At 44.6% G+C, this 23,144-nt stretch overlaps 1 protein-coding gene across 3 annotated transcripts in view, besides 10 other annotated features; it reads left to right on the forward strand.

The window, feature by feature from the left end:
• Positions 1-23,144, forward strand: part of ST6GAL1 (ST6 beta-galactoside alpha-2,6-sialyltransferase 1) — a 148,028-nt gene that overhangs the window by 81,313 nt on the left and 43,571 nt on the right. Inside the window, exon 1 of one of the 3 annotated variants that reach the window (NM_003032.3) lies at positions 10,017-10,166. The exons of the other annotated variants lie outside the window; for them this stretch is intronic. The gene's annotated coding sequence lies outside the window, so the exon portion shown is untranslated. Of the gene's footprint in view, positions 1-10,016; positions 10,167-23,144 lie in introns of those variants that run through there. 3 annotated transcript variants of the gene reach the window in all.
• Positions 904-1,023: an enhancer, noted in NCBI's record as "active region_20955". NCBI's record gives its function as "activates an Ori minimal core promoter by ATAC-STARR-seq in GM12878 lymphoblastoid cells {active_cell/tissue: GM12878}" and the evidence as "EXISTENCE:reporter gene assay evidence [ECO:0000049][PMID:35858748]".
• Positions 3,995-4,044: an enhancer, noted in NCBI's record as "active region_20956". NCBI's record gives its function as "activates an Ori minimal core promoter by ATAC-STARR-seq in GM12878 lymphoblastoid cells {active_cell/tissue: GM12878}" and the evidence as "EXISTENCE:reporter gene assay evidence [ECO:0000049][PMID:35858748]".
• Positions 4,075-4,204: an enhancer, noted in NCBI's record as "active region_20957". NCBI's record gives its function as "activates an Ori minimal core promoter by ATAC-STARR-seq in GM12878 lymphoblastoid cells {active_cell/tissue: GM12878}" and the evidence as "EXISTENCE:reporter gene assay evidence [ECO:0000049][PMID:35858748]".
• Positions 9,564-10,141: a promoter, noted in NCBI's record as "P2(-453); -453 to +125". NCBI's record gives the evidence for it as "EXISTENCE:reporter gene assay evidence [ECO:0000049][PMID:10460832]".
• Positions 9,620-9,903: a mobile genetic element.
• Positions 9,966-10,129: a mobile genetic element.
• Positions 10,048-10,141: a transcriptional cis regulatory region, noted in NCBI's record as "+32 to +125". NCBI's record gives its function as "contributes to promoter activity" and the evidence as "EXISTENCE:reporter gene assay evidence [ECO:0000049][PMID:10460832]".
• Positions 10,144-10,413: an enhancer, noted in NCBI's record as "active region_20958". NCBI's record gives its function as "activates an Ori minimal core promoter by ATAC-STARR-seq in GM12878 lymphoblastoid cells {active_cell/tissue: GM12878}" and the evidence as "EXISTENCE:reporter gene assay evidence [ECO:0000049][PMID:35858748]".
• Positions 12,380-12,469: a silencer, noted in NCBI's record as "silent region_14992". NCBI's record gives its function as "represses an Ori minimal core promoter by ATAC-STARR-seq in GM12878 lymphoblastoid cells {active_cell/tissue: GM12878}" and the evidence as "EXISTENCE:reporter gene assay evidence [ECO:0000049][PMID:35858748]".
• Positions 14,023-14,352: an enhancer, noted in NCBI's record as "active region_20959". NCBI's record gives its function as "activates an Ori minimal core promoter by ATAC-STARR-seq in GM12878 lymphoblastoid cells {active_cell/tissue: GM12878}" and the evidence as "EXISTENCE:reporter gene assay evidence [ECO:0000049][PMID:35858748]".

Consider the following 23,144-nt stretch of genomic DNA (forward strand, 5'->3'; position numbering starts at 1 on the left):
GGGAACTAATTCAAATTGCTAATGGTATTTATTTGATTCAGTGGAAATGCACCTTGCAGTACTTGATTCGGAGGACTGGGTTGAATTTCGGGAGGGTTTGTTTGACATTGTCTCATCTTACTCTCTGGAGCAGGATTCAGACCTGGAACGCTCTCTTTCCAGGGCAACCTAGCCAAGCTATGGTCTCTGCCTCAATTTATTGCCCTTTCCCCAGGACTCACATCTTCCTCCCCACTCACTGTTTGCCCAGGCTCCGGTCATCTATGTTAGTCGTGCTCTTGCTACACATCTGCCACCTCTTTCAGAAGGTTGAGAGCAGCCAAAACAGAAACGGGAACTGTGGCTCTCAATAAACTGTCTGCTCGCAGACCAAGAGAGAAGCGGGAGTGCTTTGTCTGTATTTACTGCATTTTTTTTCATTTTTTTTTTCTTTTTTTGAGACAGGGTCCTGCTCTGTCTCCCAGGCTGGAGTGCAGTGGCACGATCTCGGCTCACTGCAAGCTCCGCCCCCCAGGTTCAAGTGATTCTCCTGCCTCAGCCTCCTGAGTAGCTGGGATAACAGGCGTGCGCCACCATACCCAGCTCATTTTTATATTTCCAGTACAGACGGGGTTTCAATATTGGTCAGGCTGGTCTTGAACTCCTGACCTTGTGATCCATCCACCTCAGCCTCCCAAAGTGCTGGGATTACAGGCAAGAGCCACCTCGCCCAGCTGCACTTTTTAAGGTTATTTGAACACCAAGCAATTAGTGCTTCTGGGCCCAGGCTAACAGATGAGGCCAGAAAACCCCACCACACTCTCTCAGTCCTGAGCAAGGGTGCTGCTGATCGGGCACAGAGCCATTTCTCCTGAAATCAAGACTGGGTGCCAGGCCGTAGGGCTGCCAGCCTGCCTGTGATTTCTCTCTGGGACCATCTCAGTGATTTCCTGTTTTCTTCCCCTGAGCACATTCAGTGCAAGAGGTCTAAGCATGAGGGTGGGAGGTGCGGTGAGTTTGGCCTGTTTTCCAAATGGAGGGGAAATCCAGGGAAGTCAGCAGGCTTCACTGTGAGTCGTCGGGTCTACCAGCGTTTCCTATGTCAGGCCGTGAGCACCTGCTCTGTGGAAATGAAAGCAAATCTTCTCCACCAGGCAGGGGCTGCAGAGGGCTGGCAGGGGTGAGGTGGAAGGGCTCAGGGAGAATTTAACAATGTTGTGTTTTCATCTTGATGATCACACAAAAATGATTCTGTACCAGTCACGAAGACTTCAATTCATAATGGAGGAGACCTTTAGCGTCTTAAGTGTTTCTTGAACACTGTTTCTTTTTCCTCTTTAAAATGGGAGCTGACTTAATCTGTAAGCCTTATTTCTTATGGCTCTATAGAAGTGATGAAATAACAGCACTGTCTGGAGAGACTTAAAATAACAAACATTTCCTCTGCACAGTTTAAAGCCTTCTCCCATCTATTACTTCCCCTGTGCTTTCCCATAACTCTGTGAAATAGGGACTATTAAGCCCTTTTTTCACATGAGGAAACAGAGACTCAGAGAAGATAAGTGACTTTTCTGAGGACACACAGTGATTTGGTTGGAGAGCTGGAGGACCTCACATCTGTGCCCTGGTTTCAGGCTTTTTCTATTAGTTCAGTCTTCACAGTGACACACCCTTGACCCTGCCTCCCACGAGGGTCCCACGTTCCTATTCTCTTTGCTGTGGAGCAGTGTTTGAAATAGCTAACACTAAAAGTGGCAACTATTGTTTTGTTTTGTTTTTGTTTTTGAGACAGGGTCACCCTCTGTCACCCAGGCTGGAGTGCAGTGATGCAATCTCAGCTCACTGCGACTTCCACCTCCTGGGTTCAAGCTATTCTCGTGCCTCAGCCTCCTGAGTAGCTGGGATTACAGATGTGCGCCACCACGCCTGACTAATTTTTGTATTTTTAGTAGAGACGGGGTTTGACCATGTTGGCCAGGCTGGTCTCTGACTCCCGACCTCAGGTGATCCTCCCACCTTGGCCTCCCAACGTGCTGGGATTACAGGCATGAGCCACCGCACCCGGCCGCAAATACTGGTTTTGTTGAGATGAACATCAAGGTCTCGTGTTTAGCCAAAGATAAATACTGATTCATGACACTCCGGAAAATTTCATCTCATCCTTGAAAATGAAGACTTTTCACACCCAACAGCGGTCAAGCCGGGCCTCAGCCTTCTGACCCTCCTCCCCTGCTTCCTGGCAGGTACAGGTTTGCCAGCTCTCATTTATTAAGCACCTGGCATGTGCCAGGCACTGCACAATCCTTACTTCTAACCCTCACTGCAGTCCTGTGAAGTAGGTGCTTTTGCACACATTTTACAGATGAGGAAACTGAGACCCCGACTGTCATGTAATTTGCCTAAAATTGCATGCTGATTAATAATAAAGCCGGGATCCAAATCTAGATTTGTCTGACTCCAAGTCTTGGTGCAAATGAAATTCAGCACCATTCCTCCAAACTGAGCCTTGTCTGAGGGTCTTTTGCCTTCTCAGTCTTGGTCTTTGGTCCCCTTTAGTTTTTTCTGGGCCCACCGTTTTGAGCTCCCAGTTACCAGCCTCTTGATTGAATTGATTGACCTGGATGGATGTGGTCAAAACAGGCAACTTCACAGCTCTGCCTTTCCCAGGCCAGCACTGGGGTGAGGTGTGGGGAGGGCAGGCAGCCCAGGGGCAGCTCTGTTCCTTCTTTGGGCCTGCTTCTTACATCTCCATCCTCCTAAGTCCACATTCTGTGCTTGGTCAGCATGCAGGAGTTGGGACTGTTTTGAGGACTTGCTTATGGGTTGTGGGGAGGGAAGGGCACTGGCATGATTGCAATACATTCCTGGGCAAGACATCTGGCCTCTCCCATTTGCGGTTCCTTCATCTATAAAATGTTAACACAGTGTGTCAAAATGTTGATGTTCTCGAGTGACTTTTCCTGAGATCTTTGCCAATTCTCAAATCAACATCCTTATGGTCATTGTTGCCAGGATCTCATTTATTGTGTACAGTAGCCTAAGAGGAGGCATTTTGTTCTTGCTTGACACATGACAAAATCACACACATGCCACCAGAGCACATAATTCCCCCTTACACCGTAAATACAATCAAGCACACCTGAAAATCTAAGTGATTTCTTCCTTATTGATTCCACGAATAAAAGGCAGTAGGGATTTCTAAATTTGTTAAAGGAAATTCATCACTGAGTGTAAATTCTCCCTAACATGGACTAGCAATTTTGTTTCTCTGGGAGCCATAATTCACAAGCCAACAGGTATTTCTGTCACTTCCTAATACATGGAGGGTACAGCATCCCCTGCACACTGGGTTCCAGCCTGAGTGTGAACTCTCTTGCGTACGAAGGGACTGGCCCCTGTGTGCTTCTTACTGCACGCACTTCATAATTACTCCTTAGCAGACTTAGGCTGTTTCATGTCTAGGACCTTCGGAGTTATTCTCAAAAGTAAAAATCCCAAATGTTGATTCTGTAAATACCAAGGGTCAACTATAATATTAGCAATGATCCAGGGCTGCTGGAGGATTCAATGAGATAAAATGCTAAGTGTCCAGCATCCTAAGTGTGCTCTGGGCTTGGGACCTTGCACATTCACTGAAAATCACTGAAATTCCAGGGTTAGGTGGGCATGGCTTTGGCTGAAAGAGTCACAGGTCAAACAAGATGATCATCTTAGTACAGGCATTAAGAGTGCAGTCTTTCCTGGGTGCAGCAGCTCACGCCTGTAATCCCAGCACTTTGGGAGGCCGAGGTGGGTGGACTGGTTGAGCCCAGGGGGTTCAAGACCAGCCTGGGCAATGTGATGAAACCTGTTTCTACAAAAAATTACAAAAATTAGATGGGTGTCGTGGTGTGTGCCTGGAGTCCCAGCTACTTGGGAGGCTGAGGTGGGAGGATTGGTGGAGGCTGGGAGGTCGAGGCTGCAGTGAGCTGTGATTGAGCCACTGCATTCCAGCCTGGGTGACACAGTGACAACTTGTCTCAGGAAAAAAAAATAAAAATAAATAAAAGAGTACAGTCTTGGATTCAGACAGTTCTGGGTTCAAACCTTGGCCCTGCCATTTACTAGCAGAAGTCCTTTAACTTCTTTGAGATTCAGGTTTCTTATCTGTGAGATGGAAAGGATAACACGGTACCGGCTTTGGAGGACTGTGGTGAGATTGAATGAGCTGTCGGATGTCCAGACCTGGCACAGTGCCTGGCACGTGGGAACCCCCTAGGAGGCAATCACAGTCACTTTTCATCCTTCCTTTCTTTCTGTACAGAGCCGCAGACCCAGCAGGTGCTTCATGCTTGTTGATGATTTCAGTTCCTGTCTAAAACCATTTTCTTGTTTACAAAATAACCATCTTCCACCCCAACACACACCACAAGCCCCCGCGGTGGATGCCAGCCAGACATTCTATTCATCAAGCGCCACTTGCCTATCCTGTGCTTGGCAGTGCTAAAAAGGAGACAGAGAAGGGATATAATCTTATTTTTCTGACTGGAAAAATAAGTTTCCCACACGCAGCACCTGGAGAAGAGTGCGGGAGTGCAGGAGAGTGTGTGTGCATGTCAGGAGTGTGAGTGGAAGTCGACACTGGTGGAGGACTCCTCACTGCAGGATCTGAGAAGCTTCCTCCAGGGACATGGGCTGGATCTGGGGCTGCCTTTGGGGACCTAAAGTGAAGGGAAAGAGTAATGCGGGAGGCAGTTCGAGGTTGAGATGAACCATTGAGTGATGACTTCTGTGGATCTGTCCCCCAAAGAAAAATGTCCAAACGTTGGTCAACATGCTCCATTAAGCACCCAGAAAGTGCAGATATAAAATGTTCTTCAGGTGTGGTAAGGAGGAAGCAAATGTGAAAACCCCCAGAGAACCAGCCCCTGCCTCCCAGGAGGCAATGATGTGGGCCAAGAGCAGAAGTTGAGTTCTGGCCTTGGCCTGGGATTGCTCAGAGGGTAGCAGCCCCTTTGCCCAAGAGATTGAGCTGCAGCCGTGTTGCTGCCTCTTCATTTGGTGACCAAAGACAAGACAAGATCACCACGTGGGGAGGAGACAGAAGTGAAAGGCCCACCTCAATGCAAGGGTGATTAGCTCTTTCTCCAGCAGTACTGACTCACTTTGGCCTACTAATCAATGTGAATTCTTCATAACAGGCGATCCCCTTTGAGTCCAGGAGGACAGAGTTGATGACAGTGTAGCCTGAAATTCCTGGGGCCCTGGATTGAAGCTGTGGCCCTGCCATTTCCTCAGTAACTCTGAGCTGTTATTGGGCAACAGACTTCCTAGGTTGTGGAGGAGGCTGGGTTAACTGGGGACTTTAAATGCTTGAGCCGTGTGTTGACTCATTAACTATGTCTACCCTAGGCTGAACTGGTGTTGCCCTTCCCTTCCCAGGAAAGGCCTGGCCTCTCCCATTCTGCCCAAGGAAACCCTCTGTGAACTTTTACATTCTTCCAAACTATTCTGATGTTTATTGGTCTGGATCCATTACATCAGAAGCTACTGAGGGTAATATCAGGCATCTATATTTTAAAAATGCTTCCTAGGTGATATTAATGCCCAGGTAAGATAGAGCAACAATGTTCTAAGTGGTTCCCTTCACCTACACCACTCACCTTCATGGCTGTGAGATTAGGGGTGGGAGGGCAGGGGAGGGTTACACCAAGGGCCTTGAAGCTCTCAGGACAGACTTGAACAACCTTTTTCTCCTCCATGTTCCCTTCCCCTTTTTCTTTGTAGGGGGTCCATTTGGCCTTGGACGGGTTCTAGCAATGACGTCAGTTTGTTAAGACGAGCGAGGTAAACAGTTGTTGCCTTGGTGACTTTAAGGAGAGGTAGTTGCACTTCAGTGATTCTGGCAATTAGAAAATGTCAAGGAACACTGGCTCAGACTTCCTCCTGCCCAGATTGATAACACGAAAACCACGACGGACATGGTTGGAAAGAACGGCCGCCTGGCGCGATCCCCAGCCCTGGAATTCCTGGAGGACATGATATTTAAGAAGACATTAGTAGACATTGTCCTCACTAAAGACAGAGTTAAAGTGGAGTTTGAATAATCAGACCCACGTTAGTAGGATTTCAGAGGAAATCCTTATCTTCGGTATTTCAGTAGAAATCGTTCCTGTTTTGTTGCCATTTGGTTCTCCTTTGCAACTTAGCATGTGAGAATTCCGGGCAGCCTGATTCCTTGCCCATCTTTGACAGCTCTGCTGCTGTGTCCCGGGGGAGGCAGGTTTCCAACATAACTGCTACTCTGCCTTTGCCTGGTGAGTGCTGAGATGGAGAGGCAGGCTGGTATCTGTTTGATCTGATACTCCAGAAAAATCGTAATTTTACATTGTTTTTTTCCTGATTTCTAAACACATGAAACCAGATTCTTCTGGAGAAACATAGAGTGCCTTAATTTTGCCTAGTTAGGGGCTGTTGGGGGTGGTTTTTCTAAGCACCCTTCTGTGTCTAGCCAACCAGTAGAACCTGATTTTTGGGAGGTGAATTAGCCAGGGTTCTCTAGAGGGACAAAACTAATAGGATAGATGTATTTATAAAGGGGAGTTTATTAAGGAGTATTGACTCACACGGTCATGGAACTATGTGAGGTCCCACATAGTCCATCTGCAGGTTGAGGAGCAGGAAAGCCAGTCCGAGTCCCACAGCTGAAGAACTTGGAGTCTGATGTTCGAGGGCAGGAAGCATCCAGCACAGGAGAAAGATGTAGGCTGGAAGGCTAAGGAAGTCTAGTCTATTCACATTCTTCTGCCTGCTTTTTATTCTGGCTACAATGGCAGCAGATTAGATGGTGCCCACCCAGATTAAGGGTGGGTCTGCCTTCCCCAGCCCACTGACTCAAATGTTAATCTCCTTTGGCAACACCCTCACAGACACGCCCAGGATCAATACTTTGCATCCTTCAATCCAATCAAGTTGACACTCCGTATTAGCCATCACAGGGGCATGCTAAGCAAGAATTGTGTCTATGGCTGTAATCACAAAGTTACGATTATTGGAGTAAGCTCCACAAACCAGAGTCCCTTGTCCAGGGCCTCCAGAGATCCACCAGACACTTGAGTATCTCGAAAAGCCAGATGGGAGAAGCACGTTCACCACGGCAAACCTGCGCAGCCAAGAAAATCAAGTTTCTTTGTTTTATGCTAAACTTTTATCAACTGACTGTGGTAGTCGTGGCAATCTCATGCCATTCAGAACCTCTGATTGGCAACAGTATCTTTGTTCATTTGATAACAAATAACTCAAATTTTAAATTAAAGTTAGTCGACAACATCTTTCAAAATCTTGGAATCGTGTCGGGGGAAACAAAATACAAGAGATATGATTTGATGTGAAAGAATTTAGGACCTCTTGGCTTTGATTAAATTAGGGTGTGCTTCTGTTGTTTCACTGGGATTGTGAAATGTTGGGATGAGGAGATATGAAAAATCTATAGCTGAATATTCTGTTGATGGTTTTAAACCATAGAAATAAATATTCAGGAAGTCTCTATTGAGTAGCTCTATAGGGTAATGCTAGCTGCTAGAGCAAATAAACTCACGTCTTAACCATCTTGGCCCAGAAGTGATGTATGTTATTTTTGCTCACATTTCTTTGCCAATAACTAGTAAAATGATCCCATCTATATGCTGTGTGTGTTTGTGTGTGTGTAAAATGCAATCCCTCTCTGGACAGTAATTTACAGCAATAACTATATGGCAGAAGGAGCAAACTTCTTGTGGGGCAGCCAGCTATCCCTGATATGAGGAAAGAGAAAGAAGGGTCAGCATTAAGTGGCAGCTCAGGTGGCACACATTAAGAATCCAAGCTCTTAGAGAAATGGGAGTCCTTCATGGGAGAGGGTTTCTGGCAGCCAGGACACATGGAGCCCCTCTCGGAGGCACTATGCCACCCTCTGGGGGCAACAGGGTGTCAAGCACTCTAAGTCTAAGAACAGAAAGTTTGGGTTCTAAGGTCCAGATGAGGGTGAGGTTTGTGCACTAAAGATTAAGGAGATGAAGATCAGGGCAGAGTAAATAGGTGTCACCAGAAGGTCAATACAGTGATTAGCAACTGTAGTTGGTGTGATAAAGCAGAGAGGCTCGCAGTAGCCCTTGGAAGGGCCTGAGTAGAGGGACATAGGATGAAGAGCACTACCAGTTTGTTGGTTAGAATAATCTGGTCAGCCGGGCATGGTGGCTTATGCCTGTAATCCCAGCACTTTGACAGGCTGAGGCGGGTGGATCACGAGGTCAGGAATTCAAGACCAGCCTGGCCAAGATGGTGAAACCACGTCTCTACTAAAAATACAAAAATTAGCCGGGCGTGGTGGCGGGTGCCTGTAATCCCAGCTACTCGGGAGGCTGAGGCAGAGAATTGCTTGAACCTGGGAGGTGGAGGTTGCAGTGAGCCGAGATTGCACTGCTTCACTCCAGCCTGGTAACAGAGCGAGACTCTGTCTCAAAAACAAACAAACAAACAAAAAACAAAACACACCGTGGTTTCACCATTTACAGTGACATCTTGAGCAAATGACTTAAACTCTCTGAGTTTCAATTTCTTTATTTAAAAAAGAGGATTGTTAATACCCCACCCCACAGGGTGGTGGTAAGAATTAAATTTGGTAACATCTATAAGACCTGCTGTTCATTACAGTTGATTCTTAAGGCAGCATCCGGTGATGCCTTTGAAACATACATCGGCAAAGTCTTAATCAGATGAAAGCCAAAACCCCTACACCTGTGTAAGGCGCCACATTATCTGGCTGCCCCTGTGTAGGTATTTTGCTGTTCCCTCTACTTGCAACCCTCTTTTCTCAGAAATCTGCATGGTAGCCTCCTTCATCTCTGTTAACAGAAAAACCAAATTCTGTAAAATATTTTCAAGAAGTTTATCCTGAGGCAATATGAGTTACTGTAGCTTAGAGAAAACACAAACCCAAGAAGCCTTGAGTGAGTGGCCCTGAGGCAGTTGGGCCATAGTCTGGTTTTATACATTTTAGGGAGACAGGCATTACAGGCAAGGATATCTGGAAATCAGTACATGGAAGGTAACTGGTAGTTCTGTCCAAAAAATGTGAGACATCTCAAAGTGGGGGAGGGTGCGGTGTTAGGATATATGTATTGGTGGTTTTTTTTTTTGTTTTTTTTTGAGATGGAGTCTCGCTCTGTCACCCAGGCTGGAGTGCAATGGCGTGATCTCTGCCCACTGAGCCTCTGCCTCCTGGGTTCAAGTGATTCTCCTGCCTCAGCCTCCTGAGTAGCTGGGATTACAGGAGCATGCCACCACGCCCGGCTAATTTTTGTATTTTTAGTAGAGATGGGATTTCACCATGTTGGCCAGGATGGTCTCGATCTCCTGACCTCGTGATCCACCTGCCTTGGCCTCCCAAAGTGCTGGGAATACAGGCGTGAGCCATCATGCCTGGACTATGTGTTGGTTTCCATGCATGTTTCCTGGCGCATAGCCCCATAGCCCTTGCTACAGTCTTGCTAGAATGCTGGGCTTTTTAGACTTCAGGGACAGGCCCTAAGAAACAGTCTCTCTCCTGCCGTCCTTTCACCTGCCCCAAGGCAAGGTTTTTATGTTTTCTGGCCTGACTGTGGGCCTTACAACCCTCCCATGAGGCCAGGCATAGTGGTTCATGCCTGTAATCCCAGCACTTTGGGAGGCCGAGGTGGGTGGATCACCTGAAGTCAGGAGTTCGAGACCAGCCTGACCAACATGGTGAAACCCCGTCTCTACTAAAAATAGAAAAATTAGCCGGGTGTGATGGTGGGCGCCTGTAATCCCAGCTACTCGGGAGGCTGAGGCAGGAAGAATTGCTTGAACCCGGGAGGCAGAGGTTGCAGTGAATCAAGATCATGCTACTGCACTCCAACCTGGGCGACAGAGCGAGACTCTGTCTCAAAAAAAAAAAAAAAAAAAAACCTTCCCATGAGAGGTTCCTACCCTATGCCCTGGGGGAAGAAATGCTGACGTCAAGGAAGCTTCTATAAAAACCCAAGAGGACAGGGTTGGGTGAACTTTCTGATAGCTTAATAGGAGGAGGTTCCTGTAGGGCGGCACAACCAGGGAGGGCGTGGAAGCTCTGCATCCCTTCTCCCATACCTTGCTCTACACATCTCTTCATCTGTATCCTCTGCAGCATCCTTGATGATAAACCAGTAAATGTAAGTAGGGTGTTTCCCTGAGTTCTGTGAGCCGCTCCAGCAAATTAATTGAACCCACGGAGAGGGGAACCCCAATGGAAGCTGGTTGGTCAGAAAGAAGTTCTGGAGGCCTGGACTTGTGACTGGTGGAGGGGGGATGTCTTGGACACTAAGCCCTCAATCTGTAGGATCTGACACTATTTCCAGGTAGATAGTGTTGGAACTGAATTAGAGGACACCAAGCTGGTGTCGCTGCTTGGTGTTGGGGTGGGACCCCCACACATATGGTCACATAAGTCATCTTCTGTGTTGATTGTTGTGGTGTGAGAGCAGAGGAAAGATGGCTACAGAGAGTTTTCCCTACACAGGGACTTGGGGGGTAGAGGGTTAGGGGAGGGCTGAGGGGCCTTACAAGTCTTAAGTGCGTTTTAGGGATTCTTTAGCTAACAGTAGCTGAGAGAGTCAAGTTATTGTCTAGTGACTTGAAGTCAGTAGGAAGGAATGCCTGAGTAAGATAAGGAGGTTGTGGGGGCCTAGGTCCTTGGAGCCTCATAGATAGCAGCCCTCTGGGTGAATAGATAGTGATTGTCTCTTCTCAGACCTTTGGGTGTCTGACTCTCAGTTAGAATCTCTCCTAGATCTGGGAAAGGCCTAGCAAGGGAAGAGACATTAATATCGATTCTCTGGAGATGCACGTTTCCCCCACCAAAGATGGCTTTGCAGTCCAAAGGCTGTCTGGCAGCCTTTTCCAAATATGTCAAAGAAATGTATTTTGGGGCAAAATATTTTAATTTCCTTCAGAGTCTGCTGTCTGTCATGTGATACTATACCAGAGTCAGGTTGGAGAGTAAGCCACATTTTACTGGGTTAATTAAAAAACCCATTTAATGAGACTGTATTGTTTCTAGGGTATGACTTAATCTTTGCCTTTTATGGCCTTAGGTATTGTGTATAGTTTGGTATCTTATTGTCATAAAGGGTCTGTTTGGTCAGTCTTATAATCTCTATTTTACCTTAATGCTGGTCACTTGTACCTAAACCCCAAAAGGGAGGGGTATGATGAGGGTGTAACCTCCTTTCTGTCATGGCTGGGAATTCAGTTTTTCAGGTTTCTCTGGGGTGCCCATGGCCAAAAAGGAGTCCATTCAGTTGGTTAGTGGGGGGCTTAGGATTTTATTTTTGGTTTACACCTCCTTCCAACCCTTGCTCAAATGTCTTCTTCTCAGTGAGGCTTTCTCTGATCATCTGATTTAAATCTCCACCTCACCCACTCCAAGCTGTCCCTATTTCTCTTCCCTACTCTAATTGTCTGCATATCAGTTATCTCCTTGCAAAGCACCACGGATTTATGTTGTTTGACTCTTTATTTATCCTCACTATAAGGTGAGTGCTGGAGGGGTTAGGGATTTCTGGCTGGCTTCTCTACTGCTGTGTCTGCAGTCTGGTTCACAGTAGGCAATCAGCATTTGCTGAAAGAATGAACCTATAGCTTGGAACCAACCCAAATGTCCAACAATGATAGACTGGATTAGGAAAATGTGCACATATACACCATGGAATACTATGCAGCCATGAAAAATGATGAGTTCACGTCCTTTGTAGGGACATGGATGAAGCTGGAAACTATCATTCTCAGCAAACTATGGCAAGGACAAAAAGCCAAACACCACATGTTCTCACTCATAGGTGGGAATTGAACAGTGAGAACACATGGACACAGGAAGGGGAACATCACACACCGGGACTGTTGTGGGGTGGGGGGAACGGGGAGGGATAGCATTAGGAGATATACCTAATGCTAAATGATGAGTTAATGGGTGCAGCACACCAACATGGCACATGTATACATATGTAACAAACCTGCACGTTGTGCACATGTACCCTAAAACTTAAAGTATAATAATAATTAAAAAAAAAAAAAAGAATGAACCTATCGCATGAGTATTGGTGTAAGTTTTCTTACAGGCCCCGGGGCCACCACAAAGTAGAAGAACTCAACCTTCCCTATTCATTTCCTCACCTCCAACTCCCTTAGACTACCAGGACTTAGATCCTTTTGGGTATATATATACATATATATGTTTTATATATATACATATATACATGTTTTGCTTGTTTGTTTGTTTTTTGAGACAAAGTCTCGCTGTGTCACCCAGGATGGAGTACAGTGGCATGATCTCTGCTCACTGCAATCTCCGCCTCCAGGTTCAAGTGATTCTCCTGCCTCAGCCTCCTGAGTAGCTGGGACTACAGGTGCATGCCTCCACGCCTGGCTAATTTTTTGTATTTTTAGTAGAGACGGGGGTTTCACCATGTTAGCCAGATGGTCTTGATCTCCTGACCTCGTGATCTGCCCGCCTCGGCCTCCCAAAGTGCTGGGATTACAGGCATGAGCCACCGCGCCCAGCCTAAATGTTTTATATATATATATACACACACACATATACTCTATATATATATACACACACACATATATACACATATATATGTGTATATATATATATATATATAGAGAGAGAGAGAGAGAGAGAGAGAGAGAGTATATGTGTATATATTTTAACAAAAAAAGCCTGGGAGAACCATTGAATTTGAAACCACCAAATCTCAACAAGCCTTGAAATCTAACACTCAGTTTAAGGAAACACAGAGCAGAGAGGAGAACATTAAACAACACCCTGAGGAAGCCGTGAGCCAGGCTCAGAACATAAGCCACTCCACAGGAGAAATGACTTCATTTTTTCAACAAATATATGCCGTGGAAAAGAAGAAGTAAGGGAGCGAGGAACTCTTCTAGATAAGAGAGAATTGAAAATGGCACATCATCCAGTCATCCAAACAAAATGTCCTGTCCTTGTTTGGATCCCCTTTTGAGCAGGTTAGTGTAAAAGACATTATTGAGAGAATTGGTAAACATTTAAAGGTGGGTTGGATATTGGGTGATATTGGCATTGTGATCATATTGAATTATTATTTATATTCATATATTCTCTGGCAGAACCTGGTGCGTGTGTGTGTGTGTGTGTGTGTGTGTGTGTGTCTGTGTGTGTGTGTCTCACAGTGTAGAGAATCTGAGGGTCTACGTTCTCAATTCTCCCAGGGGTGGTACGATTCTGCCAGGGGTGGTACGTAGGTAATTCTCGATGCCATGGGAGTTAGTTGATGCGTTGCATACAATGGAGGTCTTAGGACATTAAGGCTTAATTTTTTGTTGGATCCGCAGTTGGGAAGAGCTGGTAGCAGGAAACTGATACAAAGTCTGGCGTTTGCTTTAAATTACTCCAAGAAAAATCGAAGCAGTGTAGTAAAGATTAGGAGGTGAGACAGTTCCTCTTTCTGAGGAGATGGCGGGCCCGTTTTCTTCTTTGTCTGGCTCTCTGTAGCATAGGGGTGTGGTGTAGTGTAGGGATGTGGAGGAAAGAGTGGGTAGCTGTGTTGCTGGGGAGGGGTGAAGTGTTTTTTCCACTCTCTATATAGGCCCTTCCTGCGCTCTCCTCTGCTTAATGCTGATTTACCAAGCGGAGTGCAAATTGTGTGGTGAGCATGTGGGAGATGCCTCCTGGGGCTGGGGTGTGTAGTGGGGAGTGGGCATTATACAGAAAGGGAATTCATGGGGCACGAAAGGCCTACTTTTTGCCAGGCACCTGTCAAATAGGAAGGCAGATATTTCTATGAATACAAGTCTGTCTGTCTGTGCATGGGGTGCAAGGGTGAAGACAGTAGCAAATGGCTCATGATTTCCCTTTGCCATGGCTGTGTCAATCTGGAGTTCAGAGCTCTCCTAATCAGTTCCGAGTGGTTGGCTCTGGTCAGGGACCGCAGCCTGACCTCATGGTGGGGACACAACACCCCCCAACAAAGTTCTGTTCTCCAGACTCTTAGAAAACCTCTGGGGAAATGTACTCAGGGAAATGTTCTGAGGACTTCATTATCAGTGCTGCCTGGCTGGGAAAAGATGTAATCTCTGGTAAGAGACCCTTGGCAGGAGTGAAAGCCCTTTATCTTCAGGGCTTTGCTCTGGGCAGGATCTCCCCCTCCCCACCATGAGCCATGCAGGTGGGCCTGTCCTCAGGTAAACACTTGCCAACAGTCACAGCCTCTCAGGCACTGCGCGCCCCTCATGGCTTCCTTTCTTTCACTGTCTTCTCAGATTCACCAGCTACAAGTCGGTTTCTTGTTGCATATCATGCTTCTGACCTTTGCTGCGCTTTTGAGCAAAACGGTGACTTGTCAGAAATGTTTTGACAAATGATTAATGTTTTGACCCATGTTGGTTCCCGCTTGATAGAGCTCGGTGGGTAGGAGCTGGGGTGGTAGAGCCAGACAGCCTGGGCAGGCTCCTCTGGGGACTCTGTGAAGCACATGGTGATAACAGTGCTCGCCTTGGGCACTGTTGTTGCTGCAGGAATTAAATGAGCTTCACCAAATTACAGGACCTTTACTGCCTGTAAATTACTTAGCACATAGTAAAAGCTCATTAATTATTAGCTAAAATAAAGTGATAAAAATCTATCATTAAATTGTCAGCACAGCCCTGCAGAGGCAACCTTTTAAGTATTGTTATCCTTCGCAGATGAAGACACAAGGTTCACAGAAACTGACTAATTGGCCTAAGATAACTTACAGTACAAAAGCCAGGATTTCAATCTAGCTTTTTGAGACTAGAGCCTGAGTGAACTGTTTCTCCAAAGCCAAGGCTTCTCAAACTATTGGTGGTGAAGAACCAAATTTTTTTTCCCAATTCCTCTCACATCAGTAGTTACGTAAAATACAATAAAAATGGGGCCAGGTGCGGTGGCTCACGCCTGTAATCCCAGCACTTTGGGAGGCCGAGGCGGGTGGATCATGAGGTCAGGAGATCGAGACCATCCTGGCTAACACGGTGAAACCCCATCTCTACTAAAAACACAAAAACAAAATTAGCCAGGCATGGTGGCGGGCACCTGTAGTCCCAGCTACTGGGGAGGCTGAGGCGGGAGAATGGAGTGAACCCTGGAGGCAGAGCTTGCAGTGAGCCGAGATCTCACCACTGCACTCCAGCCTGGGCGACAGAGGGAGACTCTGTCTCCAAAAAAATAAATAAATAAATAAAAAATAAAAAATAAAATAAACAAATAAATAAAAAAGCATGGATTCCAGAATCATGAAATGAGAAAAAGGACATTTGAAATACAAGCCCCATTTTAAAAAGTATTGATCTAACAGGCATAAAATTACTCTTTAAAATTACTGTAAAAGTCACTTACACTCCATTTCTGTACTTTTCTCATCTTGCATCTTGAAAAGCTTTCTCAGCCTAGCACTTCTCTGCAGATCTCACTTTCAGTAGCACTGTTCTCAGCGACCTGTTTCTCACCACTTGCCTGAGAATTAATTACCTGGGGTGCTTATTAAATGCAGATTTCCAACTTCCCCCCAATATTCTCCCAACCTCCCAGACTACTTGAATCAGAATGATTGAGACAGAATTCAGGAACCCGCATTTTAACAAGTGATTTTAATAATTTGGGTGTGCTCTAAGTCTGAGAATCACTGTGCTCCTCAGTGTTGCCTCCTCTCTACAGATAACAGATAAGAGGGTAAATAGTGAAGTGAGTGCAGTGTTTTATTCCGGCCCCCCTTCTTGCCCCGTCTTCTTTTCTCAAAAAAAATTTTCAAAGGCTTCCTTTCTGTAGAAGCTCACTGACAGAACCGACTTTCCGGACTCAGTGCACTTCAACAAACAGGTATTGAGCTCAAACTGCAGGGGGCTGGGTAGGTGGAGAGCTGACCGCAAGATGCTCACAAGCAGTAGAGGGTGAGTATAGGTAGAGAAAGGGCAGGTCTAGGGCATTTCTGTGCATAAAGTGGGGCAGAAGAGAAGGAGCCAGCAACGAGACCAGTAAGGCATTACCGGTAAGGCAGAGAAAAGCCAGGAGAAGTATAGGTTTTGGAAGCTAGGTGAAGAATATGCATCAAGGAAGAGGAAGTTATGGACTGCTGATGAGCTGAATAAGATGAAGACTGAACATTGACCATTTGGTTAGCAATGTGGAGATCGTGGAGGTCCTTGTGACTCTGACAAGATCAGGTTCATGGAGATGGGGAGGCCTGGTTGGAGTGGGTTCAAGTGAGAGTGGGAAGATAGCTATTGCAAACAAGACTATGGACTGTCTTTCAAGGAGTTTTACTGTAAAGGAAAGAGAAATAAGGCATTTTAAAGAAGAGAAATGAGGTCAAGAGGTTTAGGGTCAGGGCAGGGAAGTGGAGTTTATTTAGAACTCATGCAATAAGTGGCTCAATATATGACTTCTCTAAAGTCATATATCTTTTAGTTAATTCCTTGAGTAAAACAGAAACAATTGTCTATCGTGACTTTTTTCTTCAAGCTCTTTAAAACTCTCCCCACTCCCAAACTATATCACTGTCTAAGAAGAAAGGAGTTTGAAAATCAGTCTTGTTACATAGCTTAATTTGAATACATCCAAAAAATGACATTGCATTATTTTCATATTTGCTGAATCTATTTTTTGGCTGGAGTATTTTAAAGTAGATTTTTAAAGTAGATTTCATCTCTTACTACTTCACATGCATAGGACTTTTTCTTTATATAACCACAATACTTTTATACACCTAACAAAATTAACAATAATTTCTTAATACCATATAATAACCAATCTATGTTCCAATATCCCCATTTGTCCCCAAGGTGAATCAAACCAAGATTCAGACAAGGTGTACGTATTACATATTATTATATCTGCGAAGCCATTTGTTTTTTATTCCCATTTACTTGTTGATGAAACCAGTTCAGTTGTCCCATAGGAAGTCCTACCTTCTGGATTTGTCTGATAATTTTCCTTTGGCGCTATTTGACTTGTTCTTCTTTCTTCTGTATTTCCTAAAAACTGGAATTGTGTATGACAGCTTGATAATATACAGATTAAACATTTTGGGCAAGAATTTTTCATAGGTGGTTAGCAGGGCGTGGTGGTGCACGCCTGTGATCCCAGCTACTCGGGAGGCTGAGGCAGGAGAATCGCTTGAACCTGGGAGGTGGAGGTTGCGGTGAACAGAGATTGTGCCACTGTGTACTCCAGCCTGGGTGACAAAGCAAGACCTTGTCTCTAAAAAAAAAAAGAATTTTTCATAGGTGCTTCATGTCACGTCACATCAGAAGGCACACACTATCTAGATGTCTCACTGTTAATGATGCTAAAAGACTGATCAGGGTCAGGTCACGGCTGCTTGACTCACGAGAGGTGTTTTGATTTTGCTTTTTAAGAGCAGCAGCGTGTCTATATGTTGATGGGAGTAATCTTTGAGAGAGGGATACTTATCAATTAAACAAAGGGGTGAGGTTTTCTAGAACAACTTTCTTAAGTAAACAATAATGTGTAGGATCTAGTGGACAAGTGTTGGTTATTGCAAGTGTTGGACATAGCCAGTTCATCTATAGTAATGAGGCATATGGACATAAATGCAGATAAAGGGGGCTCTGTTAGGGGGTTTGAGGAAGTTCTAATCTGGCAGCTTTTGTTTTCTCCATGAACAAGTAGCAAATTCATCACAGGAGAGGGAGATTGAAAGGAGGAAGTCAAGTAGTGGGCGAGTGCCAGATGAATAGACTGGACAAGTAGCATGTGATTTCTGAAAAGCATTAAGGACCTCCTGGCAGTTAGGGATCGCGAACTTGAAGTGAAATCAGTAAGCATTGTTGTACAATTTTCTCTAGCCATGCTCAGTTGCATGTTTGCTGGTGTGGAGCAGAACAGAGGGTTGGATTTAACCAGGATTGAGTTTTAGCCAATCATGTGTGATCAAAGAGGGCAAAGGACTCATTTTAATGATTTTGACCATGGAATTTAAGCTGTGTAGGAAGGGAAGTAAGAATATGAGGAAAGTGAGGAACAGTGACAGGTGGAAGGATTAACCACAGAAGCTTGTTGGAGTTGGGGTACTAGTTGGAATAGGCTGCATATAGACAGGAGTGGTAATTGGAGATGGGATGCCTGAACTCAAGATTATGGAAGGTATTGTTGGGAAATAACAAGATCAGAGATACAACTCTGGGAGTGAGTGGCCGTGGTCACAATCACTGGGGTAGAGGAGATCAAAGGACTGTGAGGCCAGAGGACTAGAATATCCTAAAAGTGGATATTAATATCACAAGGAGTTATGATAGAAACAGTGTTGGAGCTAAAATATTCAGGCAACGAAGCACGGTATTTTGGGTGGGGGAGAAGATGGCTGCAGCCAGGTAAGTGGGGTCATAGGTAGCGCTGTCTGCACAGGGTCTCTGTGAGGATGACATGCATTGATGCATGTGATGCTCTTCACTTTGAGCCTGACAAATAGCATGTGTTAGAGGTTCAGTCTAACACTTGCTAGAGGCAACAAGTGTTAGAGGTTCACCATCTGAGTCTATGTGGCTCCAGTGAGTAGAGCTTAAAACACTGGGTTTATAGTTATTCATTTTTTATTTTATTTTTTAGACAGAGTCTTGCTCTGTTGTCCAGGCTGGAGTGCAGTGGTGCAATCTCAGCTCACTTCAACCTCCGCCTCCCGGATTCAAGCGATCCTCCTGCCTCAGCCTCTCAAGTAGCTGGGATTACAGGCGCCCGCCACCACACCCAGCTAATTTTTGTATTTTTAGGAAAGATGAGGTTTCACCGTGTTGGCTAGGCTGGTCTCGAACTCCTAACCTCAAGTGATCTGCCCGCCTTGGCCTCCCAAAGTGCTGGGATTACAGGTGTGAGCCACCGTGCCCAGCTGCAACACTGGATTTATTTTTACAGGGAAGTTGATTTTCATTAACTTTAATATATTTCTAAGAGGCAGAGCTACTCACACAGTTGTGTGTGGTCTGGGGCGGTAGTAAATTCCCTGTCATTCAGTGTATCCAACAGGCAAAATGAACATTTGCAATGATGGTGCCGTCAAGGTGATTCTGGCAACTGAAGGTGATGGGTGGGTAGGTGGGAGGGAGTGGCTGTAGCAATTGAAGGCAGTGGGCAGTGGGGAGGGATGGTGTCAGGAGCTAGCTTCATTCTTGCATTCAGACATGACTGAACATTTCCTAGTTGTGGCCCAGGAGCTCTCAATCTGGTTGGGACAGATCTGCAAACAGATAAATGTCACATAGTTTGATGAGGGGAAGAATAGGCACCATGGAGTTATGCTGATCATCTCTGTGAGGCCAAGGAAGCTTGAGAGTCAAGGAGCACTTGAGCTGGTGTTGGAAGCTGAGTGGGCATGGCCCCATGGGAACAGCACAGGAAACCACACTTTGCTGAAGAACTTCTTGTGCAGAGCTGCAAAGGCATGAAAGAGTCTTCGACATTTAGAGTGCCATTCTACTTAATCTGGGCAAATTATTTATCTTCCCTGTCTCAGTTTCCCTGTTTGTAAAAATGGGGGTAGTAATGGTATCCACAGAGGAAGGGATGGTGACTGTTGTAATCCCTTTGAGTGGATTATCTTTTTTTTTTTTTGAGATGGAGTCTCGCTCTGTTGCCCAGGCTGCAGTGCAGTGGTGTGATCTCGGCTCACTGCAACCTCCACCTCCCGGGTTCAAGTGATTCTCCTACATCAGCCTCCCGAGTAACTAAGATTACAGACACACGTCACCACGCCCCGCTAGTTTTGTATTTTTAGTAGAGACGGGTTTTCACCATGTTGGTCAGGCTGGTCACGGGCTTCTGACTTCAAGTCATCCACCTGCCTCAGCCTCCCAAGGTGCTGGGATTACAGGCATGAGCCACAGTACCTGGCCGAGTGGATTATTTTACTTGATTCTGTAAATCACACTATGAGGTAGGACTTGTTATTATTACTATTTCTATTTTATAGATAAAGATGTCTTAAATCTTGGGTCTTAAGGGGTTGAGTAACTTGCTCAAAGTCAGGTAGCTGGTGAAAGGCAGTTTGGGCTCTTGTCTTGATAAATCTGATTCCAAAGCTTGTATTGTTCATCCCTAAGCTATAGTCAGTGCTTGGCACATAGCTAGTGCTAAATAAATGGTAGCTATTATTGCCAGGATTGCTAAAGTTTCTCACCCAGAGAGTTGAGGGTTCTGTTATCACTTCTACAGCTGGTTGAAGATCAGTAGTGCTGCTATCTCATCAGCAGCAGGGACTATTTTTGGAAAGCCCTCATCACCTATGATAAATCTAGATAGTTGCACCACTTTTGTTTCAATTGGTTGATTTTTGAAAATCAAAAATGGAGAGTGATTTTTATCTTCTTAGAGGGCAAGGTTTTTTGAGCAGATGCAGTTGATGTAAGGGAGGAAGAGCTGGGATTGATGTACTTTTCTGTTGTCTGTGGGCTGTATCAAACAAAAAGTTTCATGTTCTGGCTGCCAGCTGGAGGATGGCAGCAAACCAGCATTCACAGGCAAGAGGTATCATCCAAAAGTCTGGTGACTGCCCACAGTGTTTTCTACAGGGGGCTAAGAAAGAGCCTCTTCCATGAGTGATGCCAGGAGTAAGAGCTGTGAACCCGTCACCCATTTATTCATTCAACAAATGCATACTGAGAGCTTATTAAGTGCTAGACATTCATCTAGTGTCTAGAGATACTCCCTGGAAATAATAGAGAAGAAGGTTGACAAGATTCCTATTTATGAAGCTTATATTTTTAGTGGAAGGAGACAGACTAATCAAATACTAAATGAATGCCTGCATAATTACAAACACTCATGCCACAAGGGAAATTCATGCTGTGAAAATGTCAGAGGGATAACTATCAGAGAAATTTTCTGACTCTTCCAAGGATGCTGCCCAGAAAACCGTCCTTCTTTGAGCTGATGAGGAGAGCCCCAAATGTTTTGACACAGGGCAGAGTGGCACCTCTCACTTTTTCCCTGGTAGTCATACCTAGGGTTTGCCTGCCTGCCTTCCTCCTGGTCATGAAGAGCTGGGGTTCTCCCAACCTGAATTCCTAGCCTTCAACAGAGGATTTTCTCTTGGTTCATGGGGTGAAGTCAAGTATGTCCATATGGCTTCCTCTTAGTTCTGTTAATGCTAGATCTCCTAGGACAGGCCTTGCAGCCAGGTTAATATTGTGCACCAAGTTGATACACAAGGTTGAAGTGTATTTTTTAGTATTGCCCCCAAGAGTTTTGCCTTAATTATTCAAGTAACATAATAAAAATAATAAAGGAAGTTGGCTAGGCGTGGGGGCTCACGCCTGTAATCCTAGCACTTTGGGAGGCCGAAGTGGGTAGATCACCTGAGGTCAGGAGTTGAAGACCAGCCTGGCCAACATGGTGAAACCCCATCTCTACTAAAAACAAGTATTAGCTGGGCGTGGTGGCCGGTGCCTATATTACCCAGCTACTGGGGAGGCTGAGGCAGGAGAATCTCATGAACCTCGGGGGTGGAGCTTGCAGTGAGCCAAGATTGCACCACTTCTGCCTGGGCCGACAGAGAGAGACACCATCTCAAAAACAAAGAATAAAATAATAAAGGAATTCAAACTGATAAGAATTAATCTTTCATCAGTTTATCCGTCAATGGTATTCAAGTCTCAACCATTTACATTTTTTCTAGACAGTTGGATATACATATCTTTTAAGTCACCATCTGAGTATACAGGTAACATTTTCTGTTTTGCTTTTTTCATTTTAAGATTTTAAGTATTTTCTCCCCTATTACTATATAAATTCATACACAATTATATAAATTATTTCAGGTGGCTATACCATGCTTTTCTTATTTCCTTATTGCTGGATGCTTAGTTGTTAACAGATTTTCACCTTGATAAATAAGCTCGACATTAAAAATTTTTATTTTTGGCAGTGTTATTAGGAAAGTTTGTAGTGCTTAACATCTACTTCAAAAAGTTAGAAAGATCTCAAATTAACAACCTAATATTGCACCCAGAGGAACTAGAAAAAAAATTTACCCCAAAGCTGGCAGAAAAAGAAAAAAATAACTAAAATCCAGAGCAAAACTGAACAAAATTGAGACTCAAAAATCCATACAAAGAATCAACAGAACCAAAAGTTGGTTCTTTGAAAGGATAAACAAGTTTGGTAAACCATTAGCTAGATTAACAAAGAAGAAAAGAGAGAAGATACAAATAATCACAACCAGAAATGACAAATATGACATTACAACTAATCCCACAGAAATATGAAAGATCTTTGGAGACTATTAATACCTCTGTTCACACAAAGTAGAAAATCTAGAAGAAATGGACAAATTCCTGGAAACTCACAATCTTTCAAGATTGAATCAGGAAGAAATTGAAACCTGAACAGACCAATATCAAGTTCTGAAATTGAGTCAGTAATAAAAAACTTACCACCAAAAAAAGCCCTGGACCAGATAAATTCACAGCCAAATTCTATCAGACATACAAAAAAGAGCTGGTACCAGTCCTACTGAAATTATTCCAAAAAAGTGAGGCAGACAGATCCCTCTCTAACTCATTCTATGAAGCCAGCATTACCCTGATACCAAAACCTGGCAAAGACACAGTAAAAAAAGAAAACCGCAGGCCAATATCCCTGATGAAAATAAATGCAAAAATCCTCAACAAAACACTAGCATACCGAATCCAGCAGCACATCAAAAATTATTTCACTGTGATCAAGTAGGCTTCATTCCTGGGATGGAAGGTTGGTTCTACACAGACACATTAATAAATGTGATTCACCTCATAAACAGAATTAAAAACAAAAGCCATATGATCATCTCAATAGATGCAGAAAAAGATTTTGATAAAATCCAAAATCCTTTCATCAAAAAAGCCTTCAAGAAACTAGGCATCAAAGGCACATACCTCAAAATAATAAGAATCATCTATAACAAATCCACAGCCAATATCATACTGAATGGGTAAAAACTGGAAGCATTCTCCTTGAGAACTGAAACAAGACAAGGATGCCCACTCTCACCACTTCTATTCAACATAGTATTGGAAGTGCTGTCCAGAGCAATCAAACAAGAAAAAGAAATAAAAGGCATCCAAATAGGAAAAGAAGTCAAACTGTCTCTCTTTGCTGACAATAT

The sequence above is a fragment of the Homo sapiens genome, chromosome 3, assembly GCF_000001405.40.
Source record: "Homo sapiens chromosome 3, GRCh38.p14 Primary Assembly".
Classification (NCBI taxonomy): domain Eukaryota; kingdom Metazoa; phylum Chordata; class Mammalia; order Primates; family Hominidae; genus Homo; species Homo sapiens.